Source organism: Homo sapiens, chromosome 12, assembly GCF_000001405.40.
Source record: "Homo sapiens chromosome 12, GRCh38.p14 Primary Assembly".
In the NCBI taxonomy this organism is placed as follows: domain Eukaryota; kingdom Metazoa; phylum Chordata; class Mammalia; order Primates; family Hominidae; genus Homo; species Homo sapiens.
The window spans coordinates 50039270-50053353 of NC_000012.12; the positions used below are offsets into that span (position 1 = coordinate 50039270).

The following is a 14084-nucleotide window of genomic DNA, read 5'->3' on the forward strand; positions in this document are numbered from 1 at the left end:
TCACCGCTCCTGGCTTAAGTTAAAAAAATAAAAGAATAAAAAGGTTGGAAGCCCCTAGTGTAGATATCCTCTAAAGGCCTTATCAGCTGCCATCCTCCGCAGCCACCTGGGAGAAAGGACTTTGGGCCACCAGGGGGCGCTGCAGCCCTTGTGCAACGTGGAAGCTGAGGCCCATGGTGAACAGGCTCTAAACAGAGAGAGGGGTGAGGTCAAGCTTCTGGCCCAGGCTCTATAGACCACAGTTGAGACCTGTTAGACCTAAGTACTCTGTAAGGGAGGTGTCTCTCCAGAGCTGGGGGAGGTAAGGGGCCCAGGGTGGGGTGACCTGTCCCAGGTCCGCTGCACTGGACTCACACCTGCATGGGGGCTCCTGTGGCAGCCAGTAGTCATTCCTGTCTGGTTGGACCTTGGAGGCGTAGAAACAGAGAATTTCTCAAATTCCACCTCAGCTATCCTCAGACAAGAGGGACTGAGAGGAGGAAATGTTCCTACAAGGCAGGATGGCTATCCCAAGTGAGTGGCTTCCCATGGACCTCGCAAGTGCAGGGAATGGATGGAGACCTATGGAGTCAGGGAAGCCATTCTGAAAGTGGGGCTGGGGACAATCAGAGGAGAGAAGGAAGATCATGCCAGGCAGGGGGGTCTGTCTAGAAAGGTAACAATTCTGAGATCTTTGCTGACATGCAGGGCCTGCCTTGCCCAGCAGTAGAAGGCAGCAGCTCACTGCCAGAAGGGAGGACTGGGAGGCCAGAACCCTCCTTCCACTCCCTTCCCTCCCCTGCTGAATCCCGGGCAGAGCTCCACCCAGCTCAGACACTCCAGCCAGGACTTTCTCCCTGGGAAGGGCCAGAGAGCCTCAAAGGGACAAGGCAGCTCACACCCGCCCCTACCCACCGCCAGAGGCTGAGGCCCTCTCCACTCATAAACCATCAGGACCCAGAAAACTTTCGGGCCCAACCCGAAGATACACTCAGACAAAGGGATGCCCACCATGATGGGGCACAGGGACTCTACCCTACCTTGGGAGAGACAGACAGACAGACACACACACACACACACACACACACACACACACGCACGCACACATGCTCAGGGCTGATTTTAGCAGAACAAATGAAGTAGAATCCAGGGCCTCTGGCCTCCCAGCTTCTCAGGCGGAGCACTGGACTCTGCCTGCCTCACTCCTGCTCTGGAGGTGCCACCCTTCCCCTTCCCAGCCAAGCCCTACTCATCTGCTCTTCCCTTCTCATGGACCCCAGCTGGCTCTGAGCTTCTAATTCTTTCCCACAACCCCTCTGCCCTATCTGCCCCTCCACCCCTTGCCTGGGCTCTGGGCACCATCCCTGTCCCCCAGGCCAAGTGCCTCCCAGGACTCTTCCACCCACCCTCCCACACCTCTGATTCTCCCACAATGCCTGTCTGAGGTTTCCCAAGTGAGTGCTTCCCAGCAGAGAAGGCCAGAAGGAGAGGCAGGCAAAAGAGCAGGGCCATTCATGTTGGCAAGGCTTCCCTGGATGGCAGAGGACAGCGGGACAGGCAGGCAGGCCAGCCACTCTGGAGAGGGTGCACACACACAACCTACCCCTCTTCTCAACAGGATAGTCTCCCAAGCTTGGAATTTTGGCTCCAGCATCCACCCCCACACACCCACACACACCCAGCCTGGTCTGTTTCTCTGGGGCCCCAGGGCCTGCTTCCTTACTGCCTACCAAGCTTTTCCCATCTGCTTTCCCAGGGAAACCCTCGGGGAACGCAGAGGAACTGACTTCCTCCAAATTCGAAGTATCTTCCAGCCTTCTAGAGACGAGGCCATATGAAACCTGGAATCGTTGTGGCTGCCCCATTTACAGCCCAACCCCTGCTCCTCCCTCCCATCTCATTCCTCCTGTTCCTCCGTGCTTCCCTCCTGCCTCTGTGAAGCCTTCAAGGCTGGGAGGGAGGTCAGAATGGAGCCCATCCTGGCAAAATGAGAAAAGATTAGAGCAATACATTTGCTGTCAATGGCAGTAAGCCTGCCTGAGCAGGGGAGGAGGAATATTTGATTTCAGACTCTCCGGGGGTCTTGATGGAAGAGCACTGGCAGCCTGCAGCCCCAGGCCTGACAGAGTGAGGAGGGCTGGTCCCAGGCCCTGCCACCTGGGGACCCTGGTGTCCCAACCCTCCCATCTCTATATCGACCCCATCCTCCGCAGTCACCAGCAGAGCCCAAGCTCCTTCCTCCTCCCTTCCCCTCCTTTCTCCCTCTCAACTGCCAAACTTGTTTCCCCACAGCAGTTTTTCTACCCAGTGCAGGGTGATGGAACAGAAAGAACACTGCTCTGGGGGCTGGAGAGGAGGCCTGGGTTCTAACCCCCCTACCGCTTCCAAGTGCAGGGATTTTGTGCAAGTCACTGAGCCTCTCTAAGCCTTGGGGCAGTGCGGGTGAGGGAGAGAACAACGGCATTCGGCATCCCTAGACCCTAGCGGAGGCTCAGCCACTCGCTGCTTCACTGGTCTTGGGCAACATCATTTAACCTCTCTGAGCTCCGGTTTATTCATCTATAAAATGCGGGTGACACAAATATAAGGCCTGCGTCCTAAGGTGATAGTGAGTATCAACAAAGCCGGAGATATGAAAGTTGTAAACAATTGTGCCAATAGCATTGTCCTGTTACAAGACAATGGGATTCCTGGTGCGTTCCCTGACTGAAGGCTGGTCCTGGACATGGCTCCACAGGGTTCCTTCTTGTCTTAGGATCCCAGTTCTGGTCCCTGCCCTCCCGAAGTGGGGTGAGGACACAGTCTGTCTGGGAAAGGAGATAAGGCAGTTTCTTGGACAAACAATCCTGAACTGAGAGGAGTAGCTGTCAACTCTCCTCAGACCAATCCAGAAAGACATTCTGAAGAGGGAGGTTTGAGAGGCAGTTGGTCAATAGTGTCTCCTTCCTAACTCCTCCTACCCTTATGTCCTCCTGTGAATGGTGCGCCCCGGAGTGGTGCAGGGTGGCAGGCTTGCCTGAATACAGAACGAGACAACTTCCACCCAGCCTCCAGTGAGTGGACAAGGTGATGGAGAGGAGACGGTGGAGGGAGGCTAGGGGATGGAGTTAATATTTATTACCAGGCTGCCATGTGCCAAGCACCATGCAGATATAGGAAGTGTTTTTCATATATCTGGCCCATACTACAGCCTGAGAGGTAGGTATAGTGGATGTGGCCGTTGAATAATTGCCCGTTGTTACCAGCTGGAAGGAACCGAGACTCAGGTTGGATGGATCCCATCACTCCACACTGCCTCCCATTGGAGCAGAGGGTTGGAGGCCTCAGCCCCAGGCCTGTCTCCCCATCCCTGAGCTAAAAACTGGACAGATCTGTAAATTACTCTAAACCATAGTTTTCTCATCTGTTAAAGAGGATGGCACAGAGAATGCTCTGGGAAGTATAGAGTCATGCACAAACTTACAATGCATTATACCTTCATATGCTTCTTTTCTGGTTCCAACCTCAACTCTCACTGCTCTCCTGCTTGGCCTTCCTTCTGGTTAGATCTCCTCACTTCATTTTTCACATGAACCATCAGGCTGACTCATCTCATGTCTTCCCCTTCCTCCTCTGCCTATCCAGATCTCTTTGATCCCCTGTATTTGAGGTCCCCTCCTCCGTGAAGCCTTCCCTCCCACTCTGACCCACAGTGGCAATAAGCATAGGCTTTCTTGACTTACCATTCACTTTTTTTTTTTTTTTTTTTTTTTTTTGAGGAGGAGGACTCTCGCTCTGTTGCCCAGGCTGGACTGCAGTGGCGTGATCTCGGCTCACTGCAGCCTCTGCCTCCCGGGTTCAAGCGATTTTCCTGTCTCAGCCTTCCAAGTAGCTGGGATTACAGGCACCTGCCACCATGCCCGGCTCATTGTTTTGTATTTTTAGTAGAGACGGGGTTTCATCACGTTGTCCAGGCTGGTCTCAAACTCCTGACCTTAAGTGATCTGCCTGCCTTGGCCTCCCAAAGTGCTGGGATCATAGGCATGAGCCACTTTTTATGAATGTGTTCTAATCTCTTAACTAGAGTCCCCAGCTGATTCTCTGAGGGCACAGACTGTCTTTTGCCTCTTCATAACCTTAGGGCTTACATAAGGTCTGGGACGTATTGGATACTAGGATGAATTTTGCAGCTACTGGTGATGATTGTGGTCATGATGCTCATGATAGAATGAATCCACATTTGAGTATAAAGTAGTGGTGGTGATGGCTATGATGGCAGTTTTGGTGGTGAGTTTGAGAGCATGGTAGTGTTGGGAGTGGTAATGGTGATACTGATGATGTGAATTTGAAGATGACTGTGGCGATGGTGGCTGTATTAGTTACATATTGCTGCATAACAAATTACCCCCAAAACTTAGGAGCTCAAAACAGCATACATTTATTACCTTGCAGTTTACATAGATTAGAAATTGGAGCATGGCTTAGGGCTGGGTGCCTCTGGCTCAGGGGTTCTCACAAAGCTGCTACCAAGGTGTCAGCAGGGGCTGCAGCCTCATCTGTTGTGTCGACTGGAAGCAACCTTCTTCCAAGTTCACACACATGATTGTTGGCAGGATTCATTTCATTTTAGGCTCTTGGACCTTGATGAGTGTTGGCCTGGGGTCTTCCTCAGTTCCTTGCCATGTGGGCTTCTTCGTGGGGTAGCTGACAGCATGGCAGCTGGCTTTCCTCAGTGCAAGTGAGAGAGTAACCAAGACGGAAGCCACAGTGTTTTTGTAGCCTAATCGTGAAGTGACATCCCGTCACCTCTGCTGAAGTCTATTCACTAGAAGTGAGTCATTAAATACAACCCACACTCAAAGGGATAGGATTGCATGAATGCCATGCAATGAAGGGCATGAATGCCAGGAGGCAGGGGTCACTGAGAGCCATCTTAGAGGCTGCCTACCACAATGGCGATGGTGGTGATGACGACAGTAGAGAAGTTGGAGAGTGGTGATTAGATCAGGGATGCTAGGGTATTTGAGAGTGAAAGCATTGGTGGCCTATTAGAATTGAAAAGTGGTTCCTTCACACTGGATCTGAGCAGGGGCATTCAGTTGGCCCGAGCCAGATATATGAGACCCACTCTTCCCCACAATGTTCCAGCCCCATTCCAGGTCCAGGCCCACATCCATTCCCCTAGAGTCCTCGCTACTCATTGCTTTCTCTGCCAACCACTCTCACTCCAGGCTGCTCTTCCTCTTTAGACAATTAATGAGCTAAGTAATGGCCAAATGGAGAGCAATTACCTCCAGCAGTCCAAGGGGGATGGGGAAAGAGTGGTCAGAGGCCCAGGGGGGATGGAGAGGTGCTGCCAGTTTGGGGGCTGGACTGTGGATCCTTCAACTTGGATAAAGCCATCTACCCTATTCTATACTGAACCCCATGTCCTTGGTCTACCACACCGCTGTAGACACCGCCCACCCCACCATCACTTTATCTTCCCTCTCTCAGTCCTTCACATAGGGTTTAGATCAGAGCTTCACTGAGCCCATGGGAGCCCATAGGAGCCCATCCACTCCAGCCCCGGCCTCCATCTCCTACCTCTAATCTCTCCCTACTTCTGATGATCTTCTATTTCTTGAAATTCCCCAACACCACTCCTGGTTTTTGTTGTTGTTGTTTGTTTGTTTTTTGAGACAGAGTCTCACTGTGTTGCCCAGGCTGGGGCTGGAGTGCAGCGGTGTGATCTTGGCTCACTGCAACCTTCGCCTCCTGGATTCAAGCAATTCTCCTGCCTCAGCCTCCCGAGTAGCTGGGATTACAAGTACCCGCCACCATGCCTAGCTAATTTTTGTATTTTTGGTAGAGACAGGGTTTCACCATGTTGGCCAAGCTGGTCTCAAACTCCTGACCTCAAGCAATCTGCCCGCCTCAGTCTCCCAAAGTGCTGGGATTACAGGCATGAGCCATTGGGCCTGGCCCACCGCTGTTTTTGATAAGCACAGAAAGCGGTCATATTTTCTTTTCTTGTCCTTTTTTTTTTTTTTTTTAAATGGAGTTTTGCTCTTCTTGCCCACGCTGGAGTGCAGTGTTGCGATCTTGGCTTTCTGCAACCTCTGCCCCCAGGGTTCTAGCGATTCTCCTACCTCAGCCTCCTGAGTAGCTGGGATTACAGGCACCTGCCACCATGCCCGGCTAATTTTTTTGTATTTTTACTAGAGATAGGGTTTCGCCACATTGGCCAGGCTGGTCTCCAACTCCTGGCCTCAGGTGATCTGCCCGCCTCGGCCTCCCAAAGTGCTGGGATTACAGGCATGAGCCACCACGCCCGACCAGGACTCATCTTTTCTGAAGGTTTATCCCTGCGATGATCACCACAAGCCCCCTAATAAGACCCCAGTGCCAGGGCTTTTAGGCCTGGCAAGCCATAATAGGGACTAATTATATAGAAAAATCTCTTCAGGCAGCCAGGTGATAATGGGTAATATGGGGGCCAAGTTCTCTTGCAGTAGGGTAACCAGGGGGAAAAGGTATTAGACAAGGAGTCAAGATACCAGGATTCTAATCCCAGTTTTGTCACTAATCATGCCTGTGATGCTCTCTGGCCTCAGTATCCTTGTCTGTTAAATGATAAAGGTGAAAGATGGATTAGGCCATTTCTTTCTTTTTTTTTTTTGAGACGGAGTCTCGCTCTGTCAGCCAGGCTGGAGTGCAGTGGCGCGATCTCGGCTCACTGCAAGCTCCGCCTCCCAGGTTGATGCCATTCTCCTGCCTCAGCCTCCTGAGTAGCTGGGACTACAGGTGCCTGCCACCACTCCCGGCTAATTTTTTGTATTTTTAGTAGAGATGGGGTTTCATCATGTTAGCCAGGATGGTCTTGATCTCCTGACCTCGCGATCCGCCCACCTTGGCCTCCCAAAGTGCTGGGATTACAGGCGTGAACCACCGCACCCGGCCTGGATTAGATCATTTCTAAAGACCCTGCCAGTTCCATAAACACATGCCTGTAATCCCAGCTACTCAGGAGGCTGAGGTGAGAGGATCCCTTGAGCCCAGGAGTTCAAGTCCAGCCTGGGCAACATAGAGAGACCCTGTCTCAAATACATGCATAAATAAGGGGAGGAAGGGAAAAAAGGTTAATACTTACATAGATAACGTTGCAATTTATACCAATTTTTTTGTTTGTTTTGTTTTTGAGATGGAGTCTTGCTCTGTTGCCCAGGCTGGAGTGCCATACTGCGATCTTGACTCACTGCAACCTCCACCTCCCAAGTTCAAGTGATTCTCCTGCCTCAGCCTCCTGAGTAGCAGGAATTTACAGGCATGCACCACCACGCCCGGCTAATTTTTGTATTTTTAATAGAGATGGGGTTTCCCCATGTTGGTCAGGCTGGTCTCAAACTCCTGACCTCAAGTGATCCTCCTCCCTCGGCCTCCCAAAATGCTGGGATTACAGGCATGAGCCACTGCACCTGGTCAAAAATTTTAAGGTAAATATTATACTAGAAAAAAAAATAGGTCGGTCATGATGGCTTACACCTATAATCCCAACACTTTGTGAAGCCAAGGCAGGCAGATCACTTGAGCTCAGGAGTTCAAGACCAGCCTAGACAACATAGTGAAAGCCCGTCTCTACAAAAAATACAAAAATTAACCAGGTGTGGTGGCATGTGCTTGTAGTTCCAGCTACTCAGGAGTCTGAGGTGGAAGGATCACCTGAGCCTGGCAGGTTGAGGCTGCAGTGAACCGTGATTGTGCCTCTGCACTCCAGCCTGTGTGTCAGTGTGAGATTCTATCTCACAAGAAAAAAAAAAAAAAAGGAAGAAAGAAAGAAAAAGAAAAAAAGAAACTTCTATAATTCTGCTTCCCAGGAAAAGGGTGGAGGTTGAGCAGAAGGTGCTAGCTGCACTAGAAAGCTGAGGGCCACATGGTTAAGACAGTAGTTTCGTTTTGCAAAGGAGAGTCAAGCCTAGTCACAACAGGGTACCTTTTTTCTGTGCATTGTAGGAACCTAGGGCCACCCCAACCTTCCTTTTCTGCACCTGGCCAGGCCCCAAGTACATGAACTTAAAATTGCCAGCTTCCCCTCACACTCATCAGTGCGTCCAGTCAGCCACCATCTGCAATTTCCCCTAAGATATCCCTTTGTTTCATCAACCACTAAGACCTACAGCCCAGGTGTGTCCCAGGAGACATTCTAACACACCCAGATGGTTCCCACCTAGTTCAGGCCTTCACCACCTCCCTCCTGGGCCTCTGTAACACACTCCTGGGCCTCTGTAACTGTTCCCTTGCCTCCCACCCTCTCAGCCTAAGGGACATTCCTCCTCTCCTGTTCTTCTCCCATGTCTTTGGCCAATCTTTCTCAGGTCCCTTTGTCTTTCAGCCTCTTATCTGCGTCCGCTTTCTGTTTACCCCTTAAATTTTGATGAAACCCCGAAGGTTTCCTCCTTGACCGCTTGTACTAGTAACATAACAAAAGCCAAAACAACTAGGACTTAATGGTGCTTATAAGGTACAAAGGACTTCACGTGTTTTCATTTGATTCTATGAGGTAAGCTATTATCCCCCATTTAATAGAAGTCAATTTTGCCTTCATGGAGTGTCTGAAAACTGTCATTTCCTTTTTATTTCCATTGCCACTGCCCTAATTCAAGCTCTTAATACCACGTCTTAGACCCTTGCTTCAGCACCCTAGCTGACAATATTGTAGGTCTTAGTGGTTGATGAGAAGGAAGGGATGTAGTTCCAGTTAACCAATTGACCAAGGGCTTTCGACTTAAGTGAACCAGACCAGGCTCCACTGAGAACAGTGGTTACGTGGTGGGCTGTGCTGTAAAGATAAGGTACTCAAAACTAGAATTATTTGGAGAAAAGATTAGGGTCACACGCACACAAAACTAGAACCTATGATTGGTCTGAGCATAAAGAGGACAATTTCTGATGAAATAGGTGAAGAGCTGCATAATGAACTCCCCGAAAAATCTCCTTGGAAGCCCCACCCTGCCAGGATTTGTGTGCCCGGTCCCAAACCATCCCAATCAACTCCTTCTGCAGCCTCAGCCTGTTGGAGAAGGTAAATCTCTACTCCCTAGTTTAAGTCACAAAAAATCCTATCTCTGAAAAGAAAAAAGAATAAAAATAAAGAACATAATATTAGAAATATTAAACAGAGAAATTTAAATTCATAATGGGTGGGTGGATTTTTTTTGCAATAATTGTATTGTATGTTTCGTCTGCTTTTAAAGGTGTTTAAACCTTATAAGCGAAACTGAGGCAGGAGAATTGAGGCCAGGATTTCGGGCAATATAGAAATACCTGTATTGCCTGATTGACCTGTACTGACCGACCTGTATTGGGCAATACAGCAAGACCAACTTGGGGAATACAGCAAGATCTGGTCTCTACAAAACATACAAAAATTAGGCAGGGCGCGGTGGCTCATGCCTGTAATCCCAGCACTTTGGGAGGCCAAGGCGGGCAGATCATGAGGTCAGGAGTTCGAGACCAGCCTGACCAACATGGTGAAGGTCCATCTCTACTAAAAATACAGAAATTAGCCGGGCGTAGTGGCGCACACCTGTAATCCCAGCTACTCAGGAGGCTGAGGCAGGAGAATCGCGTGAACCTGGGAGGTGGAAGTTGCAGTGAGCGGAGATTGCCCCACTGCACTCCAGCCTGGGTGACAGAGCTAGACTCCATCTCAAAAAAACAAAAACAAAAATTAGCCAAGAGTTGTGGCACATGTCTGTAATGCTAGCTACTTGGAAGGCTGAGGAGGGAGGATTGCTTGAGCCCAGGAGTTTGAGGCTGCAGTGAACTATGATTGTGCCACTGCACTCCAGACAGGGCAACAGAGTAAGGTACTGTCTCTGAAAAAAAAAAAAAAGAAAGAAAAGAAAAACAGATTTATGAAGAGTTTGATATTTGATTTCATTTGCAATCAATGTTTAAATATTTGAGGAAACATAACCTGCTAAATTTCTGAGTTTTGATTTATTGGTTGTATAAATAGTATGGGAGTATTTGGGGAATATTACTTGAATAGAGATTAATAAATTGGACATCAAAGTACAAAAAATAACAAACATTTTTTTCCATACCCAAAAGCACCTGAGGTGTTAAAGAATTTATCCTAAGCTTCCTGTCTCTGATTTCTGGGTCTTCAATTGATCCCCATTCTATTGCTTGCATCTCTGTGACTCTATTTCCTCATCTATAAAATGGGATGATACTACCTAAGAAGGTTGTGAGGATTTAATAACTCCTTTTGAAGCACTTACTACAATGCCCAGCACATACTTGCTAAATAAATGTTGGCTGTCTTTATCTTATCCCAGTACTACCTTGATTATGCCACCTCCTGCTCAAAACCATTTAATTGCTCTCCAGTAACCCCAGGGCAAATCCAATTTCCTTTATACTTACGTCCTCACCTCTTCCTACTTCTCAGCCTTGGCCCTCACTATTTATTCCCTGCCACCTCCAGCCAACCAGACAGATTAAATTCCTCCCTATGCTTCACCCTGGTCCCCCATCATCAACATTTCTTTCATACTATCCCTCCACCTGAAATGCCTTGCCTCCCTCCCATGCCATTATGGCCATTGCAAACTCCTATCATCCTTCAAAACCCATCTCAAATATCACTTCTTCCAATATGCTTTCATGGTCATCTCCAACTCTCTCCTGCCTCTGAACTCTTTAATAGTACCTCTTTCTTGGCAAGCATCGCATTCTTTCTTGCATCAGAGCCAAACACCTATGTGTCTGGTCATCCCTGCTGACCCATAAGCTCCTTGAAGGCAGGACCCACTTCTGATTGATCTTGGGAAACACAGGGCTGCCCAGCCCAAGGCCTGGCATGTAATAGGTGCTCAGCTAACAGACGGTGGATTCTACTAGCTCTGGGTAGTTGTGTCATCTAAGCAGAAGCAGCAGGAACCTGCAGGTTTCCCAGGCCACCCTCACTGACCTGTGTAGACTATGAGGGTACAGAAAACCAACGAAGCCAGCAGTCTGTACATGCAGGGTCCACCGAGCAGATGGCAAGAAGACGGCAGAGCCAGATTCTAGGAGCATGTGGAGCTGTGTGTGCTCAGCTCATCAACATTCTCTCAGACATTTAGCCCCTCAGTCAGTCAACATTTTTTTTTTTTTTTTTTTTTGTCTATTCTGTGCCAGGCACTGTGTGAGGTGCAGCGGACACCAGCCTGGTGTCCGTTCCCAAAGAGTATGCCTATGTGCCCGGAGCTCCTGTGTGTGCACATACATGTGCCCACGTGCAAGCCCCACACGGCCTGGAGTTCCAGCTCCCGACAAGCTGAGCCTCCTGTGAGCCGAGGCTGAGAGGGCCGCCTATTACCCTGTTTCCAAACAACTCCCCTTTCTGCGCCAGCGCCGCTGCCTCTCCCGTCTGTTTGCCCCTCGCCGCCTCCTCCCTCTGTTGGGGCTGCCGCTGATGATGAAATTTGGCTTGCAACAACCTCTTCCTCCCCTTCCTGCAGGCCTGGGAGAGGATTAAGCCGCTGGAGTCTGAAATCGGAAAGATCCCAGCTTCTGCTCCCCAGCACCTCCCCTCGCCCCCTCCCCCTCCCCGCCCATGCAAAACTAGAAAATTAATCTCCCCTTCTGCCTGTGATATGGCGGGCTGCATTACAAGCTGGGCGTCGAGATAAAGCGGGGAGCCGCGGGACGGCGGCCCAGCGCCGGGGCCCCGGGTGGGGCCGGCCAGGGAGATAAGGGCCTCCCAGCCCCATGAATTATTCACCGGCACTGCCTCCTCTGGCTGGGCGGCCGCCCTGGGCGCTGAGATTGCGTCTTCCAGAGGGGCCTGGGTAGGGTGGGAGGGGGGTCCGTGGGGAAGGGCAGCAGGCTGTAGAGGGGTCTTCCTATGGGGGATGGGGAGAGGGGAGGACTGTACTTAGCTGGGGGACAGCTCAGAGACACAAGCGCCTTGAAAAGCCAACTGATGCAGGGGAAGAAGGTGTCCCCAGGCCCTGGGAAGCCCAGACCCAGCCAGAACCCCCGCAGGGGTGCTCCTTATTATACAACTCATTAAACGCTATTGAGAGGCTACAATAGCCAGACTCAGGCCAGGTCCCAGCACCCCAGAGCTAGAGAGCCAGTCCCGCCTGAGGGCGCCCTCAATACAATGCACCTACCGAATGCGGGCTGTGTTTGGACCTGGGCGCATTCCTCTCACCAGGCCTGTCTCAGCCACATTTCTCCCCCTCCGTCATCTCCTCTGGTAGTCAAGACAGCCGCTGCTCGCTCTGGGGGAGCACCCCGACTTGAGGGGGTGCAAGAGGAGGAGACAGGACAGATCTGCTCTCAGGCCAGCCAGAGCCCCCAAAACAGAGAAACCAGGGCAGGTGGTGTAGGGGGGAAGTGGGGGTCAGTGCTACCGTAGGGAGATAACCAGGGAAGTTTCCTGCGAGGGGAAATAACCCCAGGCACTATGTGAACCTTTTGTTTCTCTCCTTTCTTGCTTGTTCTCAAAGACCCAGAATTTGAAAGCAGGGAAGGACCTTAACAGTCTCTTCCCTATCTTGAAGTCTCTATCTTTCCATCTCTCCCTACCTTCTCTCTTCTCTTTCCTCTCCATCTGTCTCCACTCCTCCCTCTCACTCCATATTGTGTGTCCATCTGCCCTTTGAAGTTCTGCCTTGGCCCCGATTTCTCCACCTCTCTGTCTCTCTCTTCGAGATGGAGTGTGGCTCTGTCTCCCAGGCTGGAGTGCAGTGGCGCAATCTCGGCTCACTGCAAACCCTGCTTTCCGGGTTCAAGCAGTTCTCCCTGCCTCGGCCTCCTGAGTAGCTGGGATTACAGGCACCTACCACCATGCCCAGCTAATTTTTGTATTTTTAGTAGAGATGGGGTTTTGCCATGTTGGCCAACTCCTGCCCTCAAGTGATCCACCTGCCTCCGCCTCCCAAAGTGCTTTGGATGACAGGTGTGAGCCACCATGCCCAGCCTATTGTCTCTTTAATGATCCCTCCCTTCTGAAGTCTTGACTCCCCCAAATGGCATGTTGACACACAAATTGTAATGTGCCATAGAAGGAAGGTGGCCATCTGCTGTCCCCCAACCCCCTAATTGGGGAGAAAAAAGAAGGGTTCAACATGGTCCTGGATGTGCAGACAAACTGCTGAGACCCAGACAGAGGCAGCAGTATGGGGAGAGAGCCCCCCAGAGATGCACTGGCACAAGAAAGAGAGCCTGAGACACCGAGAGAGCCAGGAATGAGAGGTGCTGGGGAACGGTGAGGACCAGAGATCACTCCTTCAGGATTGCAGAGGCAGACACCTGCCTGACAGGCAACCTGGAACCCATGGACTCCTGTAGCAGATACAGAGCCCCATGTTCATGAACCAGTGGACAGGCACATTTGTTGAGACCCATATTCAAGTTGGAGAGGGAAAGGTGATGAATAGGAGAGGGAGAAGAGATGGGGAGTGAAGAGGGGGCTAGATTAGAAGGAGGAAGTGGGGAGGAGGAAAGGGTGAGTCCTAGAAGGATGGAGAAGACAGAGACTTGAGTGGGAAAAGGGAGAAAAGCTGAGTGGAGGAGGAGAGAAGAGATTAGAGAGAGGAATGAGAGAAAAGAGACAGGATAGCATAAGGTGGGGGAGAAAGGGTGAGGATAGCAGGTAAGTGTGGGAGTGGGGTAAGAGGAGTGTTTGGACTAGTAAAAAGAGAAAGCAGTGGAAAAGATGAGGGTTATGGGTTGGCAGGTGGTGGGGGGACAACGTTGAGTATGGAGGGTGGGGAGGCTGTGTTGCTGGGTCCCATCAGCCTTAGGTCCCCAGCCCCTTCCCAGTGCGTGCTAATTAACTCCTTAATTGTCTCTGCATTTGCTGAGCCGGCAGATGAAGTGGATGCAGACAGATTGGGGCGCGTGTGATTTCATGCACGGGGGAGCGGAGAAGAGCTGCCTGGAAATCCCAGGGGGTCTTGTCCCCCTCTTTACCCTCCCTCTTCACCCATCTCTGAGAGGCTGGAGGGCGCTTCTGCACCTAAAGCAGATGGGGCCATCTGCAAGGGAAGCATCCATGGGGAATTTGCCCCCATCAGCCTTTCAGGGATGATCATAATGCTTGCCACTATTGATGGAACACCCCCTACTGTTTGCTAGACACA

At 50.8% G+C, this 14084-nt stretch overlaps 4 annotated features.

The window, feature by feature from the left end:
* Positions 391-1146: an enhancer, noted in NCBI's record as "H3K4me1 hESC enhancer chr12:50433443-50434198 (GRCh37/hg19 assembly coordinates)". NCBI's record gives its function as "activates a minimal SCP1, AML or CMV promoter by ChIP-STARR-seq in naive and primed H9 embryonic stem cells {active_cell/tissue: H9 hESC(naive and primed)}" and the evidence as "EXISTENCE:reporter gene assay evidence [ECO:0000049][PMID:30033119]".
* Positions 1147-1902: an enhancer, noted in NCBI's record as "H3K4me1 hESC enhancer chr12:50434199-50434954 (GRCh37/hg19 assembly coordinates)". NCBI's record gives its function as "activates a minimal SCP1, AML or CMV promoter by ChIP-STARR-seq in primed H9 embryonic stem cells {active_cell/tissue: H9 hESC(primed)}" and the evidence as "EXISTENCE:reporter gene assay evidence [ECO:0000049][PMID:30033119]".
* Positions 2241-3129: a transcriptional cis regulatory region, noted in NCBI's record as "candidate enhancer chr12.1559 targeted for multiplex CRISPR interference". NCBI's record gives its function as "positively regulates TUBA1A gene expression with high confidence in K562 cells {active_cell/tissue: K562}" and the evidence as "EXISTENCE:mutant phenotype evidence [ECO:0000015][PMID:30612741]".
* Positions 11715-12643: an enhancer, noted in NCBI's record as "NANOG-H3K4me1 hESC enhancer chr12:50444767-50445695 (GRCh37/hg19 assembly coordinates)". NCBI's record gives its function as "activates a minimal SCP1, AML or CMV promoter by ChIP-STARR-seq in primed H9 embryonic stem cells {active_cell/tissue: H9 hESC(primed)}" and the evidence as "EXISTENCE:reporter gene assay evidence [ECO:0000049][PMID:30033119]".